At 42.1% G+C, this 19,571-nt stretch overlaps 4 pseudogenes across 5 annotated transcripts in view, besides 1 other annotated feature; all 4 read right to left on the reverse strand.

The window, feature by feature from the left end:
* PDE4DIPP3 (PDE4DIP pseudogene 3) overlaps nt 1-10,983 on the reverse strand; it is a 28,902-nt pseudogene extending 17,919 nt beyond the window's left edge. Inside the window, exons 1-2 of one of the 4 annotated variants that reach the window (XR_001737706.2) lie at nt 9,818-10,458; nt 9,049-9,584 (exon numbers count right to left, since the gene is read on the reverse strand). The product of XR_001737706.2 is annotated as a PDE4DIP pseudogene 3, transcript variant X1 (transcript). Of the gene's footprint in view, nt 1-2,669; nt 3,036-9,048 lie in introns of those variants that run through there. The other 3 variants (XR_001737707.2, XR_007066540.1, XR_001737708.2) reach the window with 3 other exon arrangements.
* Nucleotides 8,780-9,712: an enhancer, noted in NCBI's record as "H3K4me1 hESC enhancer chr1:149332654-149333586 (GRCh37/hg19 assembly coordinates)". NCBI's record gives its function as "activates a minimal SCP1, AML or CMV promoter by ChIP-STARR-seq in primed H9 embryonic stem cells {active_cell/tissue: H9 hESC(primed)}" and the evidence as "EXISTENCE:reporter gene assay evidence [ECO:0000049][PMID:30033119]".
* Nucleotides 16,664-17,219, reverse strand: UBE2D4P2 (UBE2D4 pseudogene 2; annotated as a pseudogene).
* Nucleotides 17,582-19,571, reverse strand: part of H2BP2 (H2B histone pseudogene 2) — a 57,749-nt pseudogene continuing 55,759 nt past the window's right edge. Inside the window, exon 2 of the transcript NR_160915.1 lies at nt 17,582-18,749. The product of NR_160915.1 is annotated as a H2B histone pseudogene 2, transcript variant 3 (transcript). The remainder of the gene's footprint in view (nt 18,750-19,571) is intronic.
* Nucleotides 19,194-19,264, reverse strand: TRR-CCT7-1 (tRNA-Arg (anticodon CCT) 7-1; annotated as a pseudogene).

Consider the following 19,571-nt stretch of genomic DNA (forward strand, 5'->3'; position numbering starts at 1 on the left):
AGCGTTTAGGAACTTTAGTCTAAGAAAGTAGAATATTGGATGCCAGAAATTCAGTTTTCTTTCTGTTCCAAGATCCCTTTAGCTAGAGCGACATATTGAAGTCAGAGTTCCTAAGGGAAAATCATTGTGCATGGAGATCATCCTTGTGGATCAAATGTGAATCAATAGTAGATCAAAAGATATTCCACTTTTGCAGATATTGACATTTGTTGGACCCGTAAGATTTTATCTAGTATTAGATAGATAAGATGTGAACCACTTCTCAACACTGCAGACTCAAATACTAGGAAATACTAAGAACCTCAGGACAAACAAATAGCCAGTCCAAAAAGACTCACAGACTAGATAAGCTGTCATCTACCACCTAACAGATAATGTATCCCTGTTAACCACTATCCCCAGATGTTCATTTCATAAAATCAAAAACAGAATTCCATGTGGATCATGGAAAAAAATGGTTGACAATGTACAAATGAGAGAGAGAAAAAATACTTGTCTAAGAATTACATTTAGTGTCTAAAAGCCAAATAGCTCAATTTCTGCTCATGAGATTCAACAGATGAACTGAGGGAACATATGCCAATAGCTCTGAGATTACAGGTCCGCATGGGATGCCCATAAGGTGCAGGATTCTATTAGCTAAGATTATATGTCTCAGGTGGGCAAATCTTTGTGGACATAGCAAGAAAAAAGAAAAACTGTCAAGGAATAATATAGAGACAGTGTGATGGTTAATTTTATGTGTTAACTTGGCTAGACCACAGTGCCCAGGTATGTGGTCAAATATAATTCTGGAGGTTTCTGAGAAAGGGTATTTTGGATGAGAGTAACATTTGCATTAGTAGACTTTGAGTAGAGCAGGTTGCCCCATGTCATGTGGGTGGACCTCATCCAATCAGTTGAAGGCCTGAATGGAATGAGATTGACCTTCCTGGAAGAAGAGGAAATTCTACCAACAGAATATCTTAGGACTCAAATAACAACTCTTCCCTGGGTCTCCAGCCTGCCTGCCTTGAACTTTCACAATCATGTGAGCTAATTCCTTAAAATAAATCAATAAAAATAGATGATAGATGGATGATTCTGTTTCTCTGGAGAACCTTGACTAATACAGATAGCATACGAATTCACCCTTGCCATTTATAGAGGAAAGAGTGGAGTAATAAATATCAGAATATCTTCTCCAGACCTGGTCACCACAGAAACAAATTATAGCTATGCAAAATATCTTGGAAGTTTAGCTGAAGAGATGAGGAGATACTCTACTGCTCCATGTGCGCCATGTCATCTGTTGTACCTCCCCTTAGTTAAGTCAGGAGGGCAACACTCCCTTTATTTTTTATTTTATTTCGTATGTATGTGTGTGTGAGATGGAGTCTCGCTCTGTGGCCCAGGCTGGAGTACAGTGGCGTGATCTTGGCTCACTGCAACCCTGCTTCCCAGGTTCAAGTGATTCTTGTGCTTCAGCCTCCCGAGTAGCTAAGATTACAGGCACAGGCCACCACCTGTGGTAATTTTTGTGTTTTTAGTAGAGATGGGGCTTCGCTATTTTGGCCAGGCTGGTCTCGAACTCCTGACCTCAGGTGATCCGCCCACCTCGGCCTTCCAAAGTGCTGGGATTACAGGTGTGAGCCACAGCTCTCAGCCCCTCTATTTATCAGACAGATGTATAGAAAGTTTATTGTGCTAGCAAGAGTATGAAGAAAAGGATTCTCTGAGTTGAAAAAACAAATTGGAATATAAATTGGTACCACTTCTATGGAAGGCAAATTTACAGGGCTTATTAATTAAAATAAAAAATGTGTACTGTAACCACTATGATACAGCAGTTGCGCTTCCAGAACTCTACCCTATAGAAATCCGTGTACAAATAGCAAAAGATATTTGTACAAGAATGATGACTGCAGCATTATTTGTAATCGTAAAATCATGGAACAAACTTAATTTAAAAAACAACATGTAAAGGGTTACATGATGGAATAAACAAAAGAAGAAATGCCTTCATCAAAAATAATGCAGAGGATAATAATAATCTTGAGTCTACTGATAACATTATTGATTGAGCAATTATTAAATCTAGGCACATCCTGCAAATGCGGTATTATTACCATCCTCATATTACAGTTGAAAAAATATTGAGGTACAAATAGCTTGTCAATAGCCCAAAGGCACAAAAAGAAGCAAGATTTCACCCAGAACCCGTGAACAGATCACACAAAATTTCTCTTGTTCCCTGGTCCAAGGAACTTCTGTACCTTCCAACTGCATTTCTTTCCAACAGAGACCTTCTTGGAGGATGAGAAGCAGCCACTAGTTGACAGGAGGGGAAGTGAGGCATGTAGTCTTCAAGGGAGCAGACCACCGTGGGAGTTATAAAAGATCAGCGACGCCTCTGGGTGTGTTCGAACCACCAACTTTTTAGTTAACAGCCAAACGCGCTAGCCGATTGCGCCACAGAGACATGGCTGAGCTCCTGATTTCGTTCTAAAAGAGGGTAAGCTGTCACTAAACGCTAGCTAGCACCATCCGCCTTTTGCAAAATGACTGGGTAATCTCCAAAGCCTCGGAAAGCCGGAGCAGTCAGAGCGACGAATCTACTTGTTTGTCAAGCTTGAAACCTGTGCACTGAGTGATTCCGAAACGCCCCGCACCCCGCCTTGCCCCCTCACCTGCCTCAGAAGCCGGCGCTTCCGGAGATGCCGGGATCGCGACTCCTGTTAGAGCGACTTGGGCCCCAGGGAAGCTGAAACGCCCAGGGTGCTCAATTAGGACTTGTTGAATTAATAATACATTTCAGAGACAGAATATACAATCGAACAATGGCCGGACTGTACGTAAAAATATAACTCTGATCCACAACCTGGGGCCACCTGCCCAAGAAATCAACTTCCTTATCTACGAATAAACAACCGGGGAAGCCAGCCTGCTATTACATAAGTCAGACTCACAGGGAGCCAGGCAGTTATCTGTAGTAACAAACAATAACATCCATAATAATCGGCTCCAAATGGCAAGAGCTTGGTTAGTAACTGACACTTTCCCTAATTTATGTTCCCACTTGCAACTTAGGACCAACCAGGGAAAGCCAAATATGCACCCCTAACCAAGCACACTGGATGTCCCCCTTCTAGTTAGCCCACAGGCAGCTTCCCCACACCAGCAGTCTCCAATCAGGGCACACCTGAAGCCTTCCCTTTCCTCAGCTATAAAGCTGTCCCACTCCTCTACCTGCCTTCTAAGCTCTGTCAAAATGCAAGTGCCGGTGGCTGATGCCGGTGGCTGTCGCCCTTGCGTCAGAATAAATAACCATTGCTTTTTTCATTTGATGGGCCTTCGTTTTCACACTTTGTCATCTTTAAGCTTTTAGCCCTTTGAAGGATTCTGAGACTGGAAAATAAATGAAAGGATTTTTCAAAGGGGGAAGTTCTTTTTTTAAAGGCTTTATTCTGGTCAATTGATTTCCAAGTGTGCAATGTCCCATGGGGTAGGCCACAAAGAGGCCTAGAGTGCGCCATCTGTGCGGCTGCAGCTCCTGGCTCTCAACAGAACTGAGATCTAAGTCCTCATGATCTGATCAGCTTCCGAGGGCCTAAACCTCCTATTACCACCAACTTGGGGATTAGGAGTTCAACAAATAAATTTGGTGAGGGGACGCAGACACACAAACATTCAGACCATAGCAATGCATAAAGGTAGCTCATCACTGAAGTTTTAATTTGTGTTTCCCTAACGAGTAATGATTTTGAACATTTTTCTTACGTCTTTTGGGGTCAGTGGGCAAGATCAGGAAAGGGGCAGGGACCAAAGGAGACATGAAGAGGGAAACAGCAGGGACAATGACACCTCCCAGGAGACTTGTGCAGAGGCAAAGGCTGGATCCTGAGAGATGAGAATTGTTTTTGTCATGTATTTGAATGGGAAGAAATAGAAAAAGGACATGAAAGAGAAAAAACACAAGAACTTGTAGCTATCCAAGAACAAAACAGGAAAATATCGTGGATATTTTTTCATCAAAAATATTAAAAGCAGCCCACTGGCAACCCCAGGTTTATGGTGCACCATGATGATATAATAGTTAGTGCTCTTCATTGTGACCGAAGCAACCTTGGCTGGAATTGGAGCCACAGTAGCATCTGGCTTCCTTCTTGGCAAGATTTGGTATGTGTTACAGTTTCACTTTTTAAATCCCCTTACCAACTGCACCCAGTAGCTGTGGTCAGAAAGCAGAGTTTACTGTGTCTCCCTGTGACGCAGTCAGGACAAGAGAAGGAAACCCCCACAGTGCACTAACCTACGGCAGAATCTTTGGGGAAGGTTAGAAGGGACCGTGTGTCTGAGCATGTGCAGGAACCATCTCAAAAGGTAAAGCCCTGACTCTTCAGGAGCCTTGTCTGTAGCTTCAACTGACATAATGGTGTGGTAATAACCATTTTTCTGGCTGAGATATTTCAAAGGTCAGTAAGGCCTTTTTAGATGCAATGACAATGAGCTTTGTATGAGTTCTCATTCAACAGGGTATTTTACAATAAAATCTGATCATATAAAACCCAATAAATGTAATAGAACCTAAACTTGATGCCATCCTCCACCTCCCCCACCTAATTATTTGGCGGGGGAACGGGAGCGCTAATAGTACATTATTGAAGTATAATTCACATAGAGTAACATGCACAAATCTTAAGGGCATAGAAACGTAACCATCGCCTAGATCAAGTTATAGAAAATTTCCATCAGCCCAGAAAGGTCAATAACCTCCTTTAGATTCCCATCCACCTTCCTTTCACTTAGACAAACCATTCTGATTTCTATCTTCACAGACGAATGTTGACTGCTTCTGAAATTCACATAAATGAATATACTTTTTTGTGTCTGACTTCTAATTTCCTGCAGCATAATGTTTTTGAGATGCATCCATGTTTTTAGTATATTATTTTGGTGTTATTGATGACTGTTATTTCTGTGTGGATGACTGGGTTATTTCCAATTCTGGCTCTCGTGAACAAAGCTGCTATATTCTAGTACAATTCTTTCTGTAGACATATGCACCCATTTTTCTTCAGTTTATACCTGGAAGTGGAGTTGCTAGGTCATGGAGTAGGTCTAAATTTAACTTTATTATAAACTGCCAAACAGTTGTCCAAAATGGTTGTGCTATTTTACCTCCTCACCAGCAACGAGAGTATAGTTACTCCACATTCTTGTCAGTACTTCTTGTCTTTCAAATTTCTTCTATTCAAGCTGTTAAAATACCTTAAACTGAGTAGCTTACAAACAACAGAAATTTATTTCTCACAGTTCTAGAGGCTGGGAAATCCAAGTTCAAGGTGCCAGCAGACTCTGTGCCTGATGAGGGCTCACTCTCTGGTTCATAGGCTGTGCCTTCTCCATGTGTCCTCACATGGTGGAAGGGCAAACAAGCTCCCTCCAGCCTCTTTTATAAAGATACTAATCCTATGCATGAAGGCAGAGTCCTCATGATCTGATCAGCTTCCAAGGGCCTAAACCTCCTATTACCACCAACTTGGGGATTAGGAGTTCAACAAATAAATTTAGTGGGGGGAGGCAGACACACAAACATTCAGACCATAGCAGTGCATAAAGGTAGCTCATCACTGAAGTTTTAATTTGTGTTTCCCTAACGAGTAATGATTTTGAACATTTTTTCTTATGTCTTTTGGCCATTTAGAAATTTTGTGTGTGTGAAGAAAGCCTATTCATGTATTTTGCTCATTTTTAAATAGCTTGGCTTTTATTATTAATGTCTAAAAGTTCTCTCTAAATATTCAATATTTGAGTTATTTTTCAAATAAGCATACTGCAAATATCTTCTCCCAGTCTTAACAAGGCTTGCCTTCTTTCTTGTGGTAATTTTTTGATAAGCAGTTTTTAATTTTGATGAAATCCAATTTTCTTATTTTTTGTGACCTCTAAGACATCTTTCCTACCCTATGATTGTGAATATATTTTCCTACATTTTCTTCCAGAAACATGTTTTTATTTTTATTTTTAAATCTATAATTCTTCTTAATTTCATCTCCTGATCTCAGCACAATGCTTAACCACTATAAAATCCACAACTTGCAGACCAACAGTTCAATCTCCCAGAAACTTGTATAACCCTTGATGTAACATTTACAGTAGTTTCCTGCTGTGCTCTTTGACAACTATAGATCCTTGCGCTTCCACCCCACTGCCCCCTTGCCTTCTCCCTTCTCTCTCCTCTTTTCACCCCTACAAGGTGAGAAAACCAGAAAGACCTAAAACTGAGGAGAAGAAAGACCTGGTCTAATCTGTGCTCAAGATATTAGAGCACAAGAAGAAGAAAGACTGGGTCTGATCTGTGCTCAAACCACACCTGTATTCTGGTTTGTAAGTCTAGTTCTGCCCCTGTGTGGCCTTGGATAAATAACTTAAACTTTATGTGCCTCAATCTTTCTTCTGTAAAATGGGGCTAATAAGAGTAGTCTTAGGCCAGGCGCGGTGGCTCATGCCTATAATCCCAGCACTTTGGGAGGCCGAGGCAGGCAGATCACTTGAAGTCAGGAGTTCAAGATGAGCCTGACCAACATGGTGAAACCCCATCTCTACTAAAAGTACCAAAATTAGCTAGGCATGGTGGCAGGCACCTGTAATCTCAGCTACTCAGGAAGCTGAGGCAGGAGAATTGCTTGAACCTGGGAGGTGGAGGTTGCAGTGAGCTGAGATCACACCACTGCACTCCAGCCTGGGCAACAGAGCAAGACTCCATCTCAAAAAAAAAAAAAAAGAAAGAAAAAAAAAAAGAAAAGAAAAAAGTAGTCTATTTCAGTTTGCCATTGTTAGCTGTGTCTGGATATGGTTGACGATTAATTAGTAATCAATCAGAATGATCTTCCTCATTGTCATTTTCCTCTGCATTATTTTTGAAAGCAACTATGCTGATGTTTTGCATCTTAAATTAGTTTTTCTTCTAAGAATTCCAGTAGATGGACTCATGGAGTATGCCCACTGTTATGTCCAGTTCCTTCTTTCTGCATAAAGTCTCTGAGTTTTATTCACATTGTTGAGTATATCAGATGTTCATTCCTTTTTATTGCTGAGTAGTATTCCATTGAACGAATATACCACAGTTTATTTGCCAGTGTCCTGATAATAGACACTTAGATTGTTTGTAGTTTTGGGTATGTGAATAAAACTGCTATGAACGTTCTTGTTATAATGTGTGTGTGTGTGTGTGTGTGTGTGTGTGTATGTGTATGTGTGTACATATGTTTTAAAGTCTCTTGGAAGAATATCTAGGTGAAGAATTGCTAGGAAAAAAATGTTTATGTTTAAATGTATAGGAGACTGTCAAACCAAAGTGATTATAACATTTTACATTCCCTCTAAAAATGTATGAGTTCTGGGTGTTCCACATCTTCACCAAGATTTGGTGGTTTCTGACTTTATAATTTTGCCATGCTAAAATGGCGGAGTGGTATCTCAATCTTGTTTAAGTCTATTTCTCTCACAACTAATGATATTGAGCACTCTTTTATGAACTGACTGGCCACTAGTATATTTTCTTCTCTGAAATGTCTGTTTAAGCTTTTGCCCATTTTTAAAAATGGGTGTAGGAGCTAATTGTATACTCTGGATACAGGTTCTTGGTCAAATATGTGTTGTGAATATTTTCTCCTCGTCCATGGCTTGCCTTTTCAGTTACTTAATGGTGTCTTTGGATGAAAAGACATATTTCATATCAACAAAGCCTAATTTATCATTTTTCTGTTTTATTTATTTCTCTGTGTAATATTTAGAAAATATTTGCTTTCTGCCAAGTCTTAAAGACATTTTCATGCATTTTCTTCTAAAACTTCATAGTTTGTATGGTTTGTTCTGTGATCCAACTCAAATTAGCTTTTGTGTATGTTGTGAGGTAGGGATTGAGATTTTTTTCCTCACTAGTAGATATCTAGTTGGTCCAGCACTACTCGTTGAAATGACACTTCTTCCCCATTGTATTACTTTAGTACCTTTTTTGAAAAAAAAATCAATTGACCATATAACAAGGATCTGTTTTAGGTGTCTCACTTCAGTTTCATTTATCAATATGTGTATCCTTTTGCCACATTCACACTGTTTTGTTTATAGTAATAAACAGCTTAATAGTAAGTCCTCTAGGTTTGACACCTCAATAAACCTGAAATGTGTACATCCTATGGTGCCACCATGAAAATCAAGACATGCTGTCACTTAATCTCTCTCATTTCACTAGAGGACACATGCTCTCATAAATAATGGTTGACCCCTTAGCCAAAGATCCTCTATTGTACCCTCTGGAGAAAATAAATCTCTAGTTACCTTAAGAGCTGATCTAGAGGTAAAATGTCTGCAACATTCAGCAATGAATTTAGATTTTCTTTGAAAAAAAGTTCATTTTCAAGGTAGTTTTTTTTGTTTTGTTTTGTTTTGTTTTTTTTGCCAAAGAATTTCTTTTTTTTCTGTTACTTAGTAGCGTGAAGTACAATGTTTGGTTTGCAATTTCTGTTCTTTGTAGGAAGAAAAACTTTAGTGGAAACAACCAGTACTTAAAGACCATTTTATGAGGCTGTCATTTACATATTATCTCTTTTGCTGTTTTTGTTAAAATGATATAAGGTGGGCTTTATATGCTTTCTGTATAACCTTTGGAATGTGTATTTAAATTAAAAACGTAAAATTAAAATATTCATCCTAGACTCAGGTTAAGTTCCACCAACAGTACACTTAAAATAGGATGAGCCCAACCTAAGCGTACAACCTACCTGCTTCAAGTGTGTAGTTGGTGTGTGTGATACATTCTCAACAGTATTTGTGTTCCCTGGTGTAGTGATTTTCGTGTTACTCCCACCCTTGAAAGTCCTCGACTTAAAACCCATCTAGAACATTTCCTTTGCTAAGACTTTAAAGTATTCTTTCTTCAAGTTAAGGGTAGTTTTTAAATAGTTATCAGTTGCATTCTTGGAATTCACAGAAAGCTTGGGGAGAAACAATCCGACGGCACAAGTTCAAGTGCCCAACGGGGTGGAGAAGGGACTGCATACTCATTGGTTGCCAGGCCGAGGTTGTCCGCCTTGCCTGCTTTGGCTGAGACTGGAGACGGAAACTCCATTCAACAGCGACTGGAGGACTGAAACGGCGCAAGAGGGCGGCTGCCCTTCACCTACTGGTCCCTCCCTGCCTTGGCGCCTTCGGAGTTCGGACTGACCCGGGATGTTGCTGGAGCCGGCAGGAACTGCAAACTCACCGCGCGCGTCCCTGCACACCCGCACCTGCGCCTCGAGAACTCCTGGCCAGTTGAATACCCGGTCTGCCGCCGAGCTTCGCTGCAGGTCACAGGAAAGGGGTGCAGGGTTGCGTACCCGGCGGGAGAAGCCGCGCGGAGAGGACCAGGTGCTGCTACTGGCCTCCGAGAAGACAGGCCTAGAGTAGCTGATTTTGACCTGCAGGGCCAAAGTCTAACGGCGGCCTAAAACCCTAACGTCTGGGCGAGCCGCGGGTAGCGAGTTGAAGCGATCTCTATGCCTTGCTTGTCGTTTGCCAAAATTCAGACCAAGAAAGAGAATAGTTGTGTGGATCAAAGTCTGCAATTAACCAAAAAAGAAACATGATCCTGTGTTAGCTTACTTAGGAAAAAAGGAAGAAGGAAGGAAAGAAGGAAGGAAGGGAGGAAAGGTTGGAGGGAGGGAAGAAAGATGAAAAAATCAACCAAAAAAAGAACATAATTTCCTAACTAATCGGATGTGGGTCATGAGAGAAAGACCTGCGTCCAGTTTTTGGCCTGAACGTGTGGAGGGTGGAGTTGCCATTAACTAACGTGAGAAAAGGCAGGTGTAGTACGTTGTAGAGAAAATATCCGGAATTCCGTTCAGGGCCCTGGGGTCTTCCTTGAAAGAGTTTTCCATCCAGGCCGTCTCGGTTTCCGCATCCGTCTGAGTCGTTTATGATGTCGGGAATGCAGGAATCTGAGTCCTTTATGATGTTGAGGGTGCCACGGTCTCACCCCGGGCGCCTCCCCGCTCCAGCCTCCTCCCGGAAGCCTGGTGCGCTCTGGCCCCGCCGACCAGCGACAGTCTCTCCACGCGCTGCCGCCTAGCAAAGGCGCATCTTTAGGTCGGTAGTGAGGTGCGGCCGGGACGCTGCAACTCGCTCCGGGACTTGTAAACCTGGCAGGTGTTCGAGGAGCGCCACTGGCTGGAAGGAAAGGAGAGAGCTCTGCACGTCGCGTGTGGGCTCGCAACTTGGAGAAAGCAGGGAGAGGACAGCCTTTTGGGACTATTCCTTGGATGGGCGGGTGGCACCAGGAAGGGTAGATGGAGCTTTCTAGAGGTCAATGTCAGCGTAATTTCTGCTGAAGCAATTGAAGGAGGAAAAAAAAAAAGTATGTGCTTTGTGGTTCCCTGGTAGTCTAGTGGCTAAAGTTTGGCGCTCTCACCGCCGGGACTGGTTGATTCCAGATCAGGGGACTGGGTCTCAGCCTCACTGTGAGGTATTGTTCTTTCCTGTGTTTGCCATCTACCACCGCTGTGGCTCAATTATTTCAAGACTGCTGGAGAAATGGAATTAATGTCGATCCTAACATTTAAGCTATTTATCTAGGATAAATTCCAAATAGTGGAACTGCTAGGTGAAATTTATTGTGAATTTAAGATTCCGATGTATACAGCCCTACAACGTATAAGCACCAATTACATTCCCCAAAGTGTGTGAGACTGCGTCTTTTCCCCAGAATTTAAAACCAATGCTAGAAATTATCAGTCTTTTAGAGATAATTTTAAGCTTATTTATCATCAAAGGATTTCTTCATAGTCAATTTCCCCTTAGACTATAAATCCGCAAGAGATGGCAAAGCTGGAAGAACTGCCTAGAATTTCAGCAAACTTGAATTCAATAGTCTCTCTGTTCTTTCCTGTTTTGGCACCTACCCTTTTCTTCCAGTTAAGATTGGACACAATAGAAAAATAATTAATAAATGTAATAAAAATGTAAGCCTGGACGTTTTGCTCACAGTGTTCTCACTGGGTCTAAATTTTGTGAATGTGGTTCCTTGGATGGTCTCATGGGTATGCTTGAGACTTTAGGCCCTTGGGACACCTGGTGCACAGAAGGGTCCCAAAACCCATCTTTGGAAGTGTTGGCAGAGTAAATAGGCACCAGTAATAAAGGCAACGGCGCCTGAATACGTAAGGCTGGTTTAAACCAAAGCAGATTTTTCAAAACCAGAGAGGGCTTGTGTTCATAATTTAATAATTTAATTTTTATTTTGATGAAATTTAAATTTGATTTAAATTTTCATAATTTAATTTTCATTTTGATGGCCACTTTATTTTGACAAAGACACTAGTGGAGGAAAGTCTCTTTATCGGATCATCAATTTCCCTATAAATCTTTGTCTCAGAAAAATTTAATAATAATTTCATAATAAATTATAATAAATAATGTTTCACATCTTACATTATTCACTTTTGATTTAGTTGGCTTGTGCTGTCAATATGTTGCCCACTGTATAACACTACCTGATGAATTACATTCAACTATGTAGTAATACATATTACTACATATACACACACACGTATACATGTGTATATACATATGCATATACACACACACATGTATACGTGTGTGTGTATATATGTATATATAACCATATATAATTTCAAAAGGTAAATTAAATATAATGGGACAGTGTTGGTAACCTCTTAGATAGTGTAGGGATAAGATAGCTGAATTTATGGCATGGTGTTGTATACTTCAGATATCTATGCTGTAATATTAAAATGGCATTTCCTTGGCCCACTAAATTGTCCACTTCCTGGCCCAATATGATACACGAAAGGAATGAAAATGGGAAGAAAATAGCCTTCTGAAGGACTTGCCTAATAAACTTCTCCCTTAGCATTACTTGGAGTGACATCAGAAAATTGGAATGAAGTAATTGTGTAAAAAAGACAAATTCTCTGCTGTCTTTCTCCCCCAATCCTTAATAAACAAAGGAGGAAACCTAGACTCAGGTTAGGTTTTCTCTTCTTATTCTTTACATACCAGGACAAGTACTGAGCTTGTTTGTTACTATATGGGGACTTAGTGTATTGTACAAAGGGGTGTGGCTATTACTGTCCCTTTTCTACCAGAGCATCAAAACTGGTAACTTGGCTGGTGTTAAGGGGAGCTTCTAACCTTGAATTCCCACTCCATGTGACTTCTTTCTGGTTCTCTCTTCTCAGAGAACTTGCAGCCATCAGATTCATTTGGAGAAGTTTGATAAAGGTGACTTTACGCTTAGACAGAAGAAAAAACCCTAAGGTCTTGAACTAAGCCTTATCCTCTGATACAGTTTACTGGAATTCCCTCCACTGTGGCACAAGCCCTGCCATAAATTGTGATTATCTATACCTTGTCAGTTTTATCTGTGTATATATCTTTTACAGTAATCCCCACATCCACCAGAGAACCTAGGTTATTGGCAGAATGAGGTTTGGGAATTTTGGTCCTCTGGCCAGACACTATCAGATAGTACTCTGATTCCACCATTTTTGAAATTATATACAACAAATTTTAAGTATTGTTTATTTTGGAGAGTTCAGGTTAAAGGAAATGAAGACTATTATTCAGTATTATTTCTGTAATTTTGTAATTTTAACCATAACATAGGTTTCTTATCAAAATGTATGGAAGCCAGAAAGCAGTGAAGCAACAATATTTTCTCCAAAACAAACAGGCCAAACTTTGGCAGGAGTGACAAATCTGGCATGCAATGGTGGCTTCTATATCAGAAATCAAGTCTTTTACTTTGTGAGAGGCCGGAGTTTTTAGTTCTTTGTCTTCCTTTTGGCTGCCAGAGGAATTGAACATTGTGAATTCATTGGCATAGTCCCAAGAAACTTTACTTGGCAAGCAAGCTATTGATTTTGGCGGGGGTGGGATGGTGTTTATCAGTCACCCCTACTAGCAGAGATGTGATAACACTGCAGTCAGAGTAGTTGAGTTTTAAAATTTTGACTTGCCAACCAACAGAACATTATTTATATGGTAAAACTTAGACATCAGAGGCTACAGGCACTCAGGCTAAATTCTGACCCATTCATTGGTGACAAATGTTAAGGGATTTTTGCCCCATTAGCCCTTTTTTTACTCATGATGGTACTCTGAACAGAAGAATCTCCTCTAACAATTTAAGACCATTCATTGTATAAGCATGTAAATCATCAATCTCAATGACACATTTTCACAACTATACACTGAATTGGCTCAGAGGCTTCACTCATAACTTTAACTTTTTTTCCCCCTTTACTACAAGTTTTACCCAAACTCTGTCAGTTGAATTCACACTCTACAGGAACACATATCAAGAAGTTTAACACATGCACTTTAGTTACAGCAGCACCTGCCAGGAGAATATCTTACCTCCTTGACTGAGAGTTCAAGGAGTGCAGGGAGATGTGACCAGCCATCAAGAAGCAGTAGAGAGACTTCTTTCTTTAAAGTACCTGAGTCAGGTTGAGGGGAAGAGAAGAATTAGGAGCACAAAGAGAGCAGGCACACAACAGAAAGCACAACTCTGCAATTGCTTTTGGTTTTAAGAGGCTGTCCATTCAGTTTTTTTTTTTTTTTTTTTTTTGAGACGGAGTCTCGCTCTGTCGCCCAGGCTGGAGTGCAGTGGCGGGATCTCGGCTCACTGCAAGCTCCGCCCCCCGGGTTCACGCCATTCTCCTGTCTCAGCCTCCCAAGTAGCTGGGACTACAGGCGCCCGCCACTACGCCCGGCTAATTTTTTGTATTTTTAGTAGAGACGGGGTTTCACCGTTTCAGCCGGGATGGTCTCGATCTCCTGACCTCGTGATCCGCCCGCCTCGGCCTCCCAAAGTGCTGGGATTACAGGCGTGAGCCACCGCGCCCGGCCCCATTCAGTTTTTTGGTTTTTTTTTTTTTTCCTTTTTTTGAAACGGAGTTGCCCAGGCTGGAGTGCAGTGGCATGATCTCAGCTCACTATAACCTCCACCTCCTGGGTTCAAGCAATTCTCCTGCCTCAGCCTCCCGAGTAGCTGAGATTACAGGCTCCTGCCACCATGCCTGGCTATTTTTTCTATTTTTAGTAGAGATGAGGTTTAACCATGTTGGCCAAGCTGGTCTCGAACCCCTGACCTCAGGTTATCCACCTGCCTCGGCCTCCCAAAATGCTAGGATTACAGGCATGAGCCACCATGCCCAGCCTGTCCATTCAGTTTCAATGAACTTTAAACAACAAAAAATGCCATTTGGGTGGCTGGTTTCAGTCTTCCCTGTCAATGCTCAGCCTCCAAATATTCACTAACACACAGAACAATAGGAGGACTGTTACTCTCCTCTCACACCTACTACGTGGGAGAGAACATCTGCTACCAGATCCTGGAGGCCCTTCTCAAGCCCCCTAACCTGGCCCCATGTGGTTCTTTCTGTTTTTTCTCCTAGAAGGCATTGTGACCTTACTGGTCCCATGTTGGGCATCAAATCTGTGAATGGCTCACACTTGGACTTACGCACACAGCATAAGTAATAGGGGATATCTATGCATAAGAAAGATTAGTATGTTGTCAGCTCCCCACATCCATAATTCCACAGCATGACACCAAACTGGAGTTACTAGATGACAACCCAAGTGGTGGGTTGCTCTGTCAAGAAGGGGCCAATTTTATATTGCAGCTAGGCAGTTACAGTCTGTAGCTGTACCATTGAGGGGATCGGGGCAAGATGGAAATTTCCATGGTTTACCAGAAACAGGTGAGAAACTGCCTGCTGGTAGCCTGCTGCAAGACAAGGAGGCCCCCAAAAGAGATGAGTAAGAAATAGTATTATGATAATGCCTCACAAGACTACTTCCCTTACCATGGTCCAGGAGGGCATTTGGTCAAGGTTTGAGTCATAGTATGGTTGAGCCTTACCTATGTAAAGTTTAAGCAAAGCCATTCCCTTGTACCTTGTACCTTGAAGAGAGTTTCATTGGATATAATATCCTTAATTTGCACTTTCTTCTTTTTAATGAGTAAATTGCATTTTATTTTATTTTATTTTATTTTATTTTATTTTATTTTATTTTATTTTTTGAGATGGAGTCTCACTCTGTCGCCCAGGCTGGAGTGCAATGGCACTATCTCGGCTCACTGCAAGCTCCACCTCCCAGGTTCACGCCATTCTCCTGCCTCAGCCTCCGGAGTAGCTGGGACTACAGGCACCCGCCACCATGCCTGGCTAATTTTTTGTATTTTTAGTAGAGACGGGGTTTCACCATGTTAGCCAGGATGGTCTCGATCTCCTGACCTCATGATCCACCCAAGGAGTCTCTCTCCCTCCTTGTGTTCTGGTCCGTGAATGGCTCACACTTGAACTTACTGTAGGCTCCTAGTGGGAGGAGCGGGGGTGGTGAAAATCCTCATCATATGGATAAACATAACCCAAACCTCTAGAGGTTTCATAATTTTCCTCTTGCTTCTAAAAACATAGTCATGTCTTATGGGGTGTTATGTACTTTATATCTTAACATTTTCCACTTGCTGCTTCTTGGTTTGAGGGGAGAAATGCCAGCATGTGGCAAATGGAGAATAAGACTGATGGAAGCCTCAGGGCAAGGCCTTCACTTCCCAGTGACACTGTTCCCAATTCCCTCCAGCATGAGCTGAGCCTCCTCAGGCTGTGGTTGTGCAGCAGACAGGGTGTGAGGAAACCCTGCTCAGCCCTGGTTACCCAGGATGGCACTGAGTTCTAAAACGCAAAGGTTATGTGGTGAGGGGCCTGGCTGAAGACCTGGTGTGGTACTTTTGTGAGCAGTGGCACCATTTGAGGCTGGGTAGGAGAGAGGTGCAGGGCCTAGCTCCCCAAAAGACCAACAGATAAACTGGGGCAGAGAGAGAGATTCCAGTGTAACCGGGAAGGCTGCAGATCATAACAACTATGGCTGCTGATTTGGCATCAAAGATGTGGCATTGTCAAAGCCACAATTGTTGAGAATGGCACCAACATGCTGCAGCTGGAGAGAGTGGGTGACCAACATTTTGAAGTGGCATAGTTGTCTGGGGTAATTACCCAAGGTTTGTTGCCTCACACCAAGGGAACTGAGGATGTGGACACACAAGAAGTGGGTTTAGGAGTGGAGGTTTACTAGGCAAAAGAAAGAGAAAGGAAAATAGCTCTCTCTCCTGAGAGAGAGAGGGTTGCCAGAGTGGAACTTCTGGTTTTGTGGTGAAGTGCACAGGGTTTTATAGGCTGGCTTGAGGAGGCAGTGTCTGATTCACATAGGGCCCAAAGATTGGTTGGACCAGGTGTGACATTTACATAGCGCTGGAAGAAGCTGGCCACCCAACCCTAATCTTCTTCTTATGCAAATGGGTTTTCTACTTTACTCACGCCATGTTGTCTGCTCCTTACTGTACACGTGGTTAGAAAGGAAAAGGGAAGATGGAGCCACCATGTTGAACATGCCTATCCCCCAGGTAGCCTTGTCCTATTGGCACAGCCGCCAGCAGTCACCTGTGCAAGCTTCCAGCTTGCTTATCTATGTCTGCAGCTCCATTTTACAGGCTGCTTTTTGTTAGAAAAGAAATTATTTGGGGGCTGCTTTTCATTAAAAGGGAACCTTACCAAGGACTTCCTTACCCTAATGCCTAAATAATTTCTTTTTAACTCCTATATCAATTTGTTTGAAGAACAGATGACACTTTGAATGGCCCAGCCCACAGCCCAGAATTTCAAGGGAAGACCTTGAATTCAAGGGAGACAATGTCTCCCGTAAAATCACCTAGGCACTTACATAGCATATTTTTCTGTCCACTGTCTTGCTAGTCTGTTGTAGTTCTCTCTGTTGGCCTTGTAGGTGTGGGGTATCTCTAGCACCAGAGGATCATTGAGGTTGGGGATGCAGGGCAGTGAGCAGATGGACAAGAGAACTTTTGACAGTCAATGCTGGAGACCACTGAGACCATAGGATGTCGAAGCAGATGCTGTCATTGCTATTGATATTGGGGTGATAAATTTTGGTTGTGAAAGCAACCTTGGGGGCTTGAACAGGCAATCCGTAGGAAAGTGGATGGTCAGGAAGAAAACACCTCCTTGGCAAGGACTGTCATTAATTATCACCCAGAGGCCCCGTGGAGCACTGGGCAGGAGGATTCATCTGCAAGTTGGTTAATTCCTTCTGGATCCACTTTAGTGCCATCCTACCCCACTGCTGGGGGCTGGGGTGGCCCAGCCACACTGCACTTTCTATATATAAGTTTTTTGAAAATGCTGCTTCACTGTTACCTTGCCTTGTATGTTAGTGCCCATCTAATTCAGTTGCTTTTGTAACTTGTTCCACAGTGATGCCTGGAGACCTGAGTATGTTTTATCTTTAAAATCTAATAATTTTACTAGGATATTGTCTTGAAGTTGATCATCCTGGTTTAATTTTTGCTGCCACTTTATGGGCTCTTTCAATGTGCCTCATCACATAAGTAATGTCATTTTCATTTTTGTAAATCAAGTCTCCTAGATTGTTCACCTGAAAGCCTGATTCTCCTTTAGAGAAAAAAATGCTAAAAAACAAAACAACAACAAAAAAACAAAACATTATATATCGCATTACAATTTTATTCAACAAATACAGAGATTTCCAGAATAGTTAAAACAAAGTAGAAAACAACTCTGGTGTTATAAGAGCAGTAGGTTCATATGCCCACTGTGCAGTAATAGACCAATACACTAAGACAGCAGTTTGCAACAAAGAATTTAATGATCACAGGGCAGCCAAGGGGAGAGATATGAGTAGACCCTCAAATCCATCTCCTCAAGAACTTCTGCATTAGGGTTTTTAAGGGGATTGTGGAGGGTGAGGGGTTGGAAAATTAAGGTTGTTGATTGGGCAGGGGAAGGGGGATGAAATCATTAGGATTTGGAAACTGCATACTGAGTCAGTTCCTCAGTGGGGTCCTTCAGACCAGCTGACATCAGTAGTTTCACTGGTACACAGGATCTGAAAGAATATCTCTAATGGGAAACTTAACATTTCATAATGTTCAGGTTGTTATCTATAGAACAGTTCAGGAGAACTATAATCTAGGGCCTGCCTGATTCTAGCACAAACAGCACCAAACAACTGTGAGGAAGCAGGTCCAAGAGCAGGCTGCTCTCAAGAGTAATGCAAAATTGCTGCAAGCTTGTTTATTTTTGTTTCTCCCCTTCCCTTCTTCCCTGATTAATTTTATAAAGTTTATAGGGACAGTTTCAATGGCTTCAACACAGTATTGCCAGGTAAGGACTTGAACCCAAGAGGCGGAAGTTGCAGTGAGTCAAGACCAAGCCACTGCTGCACTGCCCAGTCTCAAAAAATAAAAATTAAAAAAAAATCAGGCCAACACCTGTTGACACACATTGCTAGGAATCCCTTTGGGAAAGCAAATGGGCTCACGGAACACACGGAGGCCATGGTGGGTGACAATGTTAACTAATTCTGTTCATGGTGTCCAGGGTACAGGCCTGAGGGTCCACTCGCCACCTCTGCCCAAAGCCACGTCTCCACTGCTCCCCTCATCTCCGCACGGATTCCTCCCCACGTGCCTCCCCTTTTCTTGGACTGCCGACACCTGACACCACCAAGGTGACTGCTCCTCCCCACAGCTTCTCTCCTTCAGGGGACTTCACTTCTTGTTCCTTGCTCCATAGTGAGGCGTGACCCAGCGGTCAGCCCAAGGTCTAGCATGCGAATCAGGGACGTGATGGTTCTTTGGGATTCTAGGGATCTACCTGGAAAATAGATGAAAGTAACAAAAGTTTTACATACCAATATTCAAAACTGCATCAAACTACCAGAAACACTTGCCACTTTCAAAGATAGACCATGCTAAGTAGCTCCAGGTGTGTGCCACCATGCCTGGCAAATTTTTGTATTTTTAGTAGAGACTGGGTTTCACCATGTTGGCCAGGCTGGTCTCGAACTCCTGACCTCAGGTGATCCACCTGCCTTGACCTGCCAAAGTGCTGGGATTACAGGAATGGCTCTTGACTCTAACTGCAACGTCCCTAAATCATTAGATCATTTCCTGAATATCTTATGCTTCAGGCATTGGCCATCACTTGGGTTACCATTGTCATAAGTCAAAAGCCTCCACAACCAAGGCCCTTAAACATGGGATAGCCTGTGCAGGGCAGAAGTATAAAGAATATAGAGAAGTGAAGCACAAAACTTGTTGCATTGGCCAGGAATTAAACCAGGGTCTCCTATGCAGGCGGTGAGAATTCTACCACTGGACCACCAATCCGGCTCTTATGTGTGGTCCTGGAGAAACAATTGAAATACAATACTGAAAAAGACAGAAATTGTTCCAAAAGAAGCTTTTTGCAGTATTGACTAAAAGCTAACAGTAGACATCCAAAACCAAGGTTTTTATAGAATACTTTTACTAGACAAAACTATAAATATTAAAATAGCTTATTTGATCAAACTTTAATTCCTAAAAAGGCTCCTTCCAACTGCGTAACAGACTCCTATAGAAAAACATCAGAAATTCATCCGGGTTCCTTGTTTCTGATCCTAAATCTTCAATTTAGGACCTCAACCTCAAACTG

The sequence above is a fragment of the Homo sapiens genome, chromosome 1 (assembly GCF_000001405.40).
Source record: "Homo sapiens chromosome 1, GRCh38.p14 Primary Assembly".
Classification (NCBI taxonomy): Eukaryota; Metazoa; Chordata; class Mammalia; order Primates; family Hominidae; genus Homo; species Homo sapiens.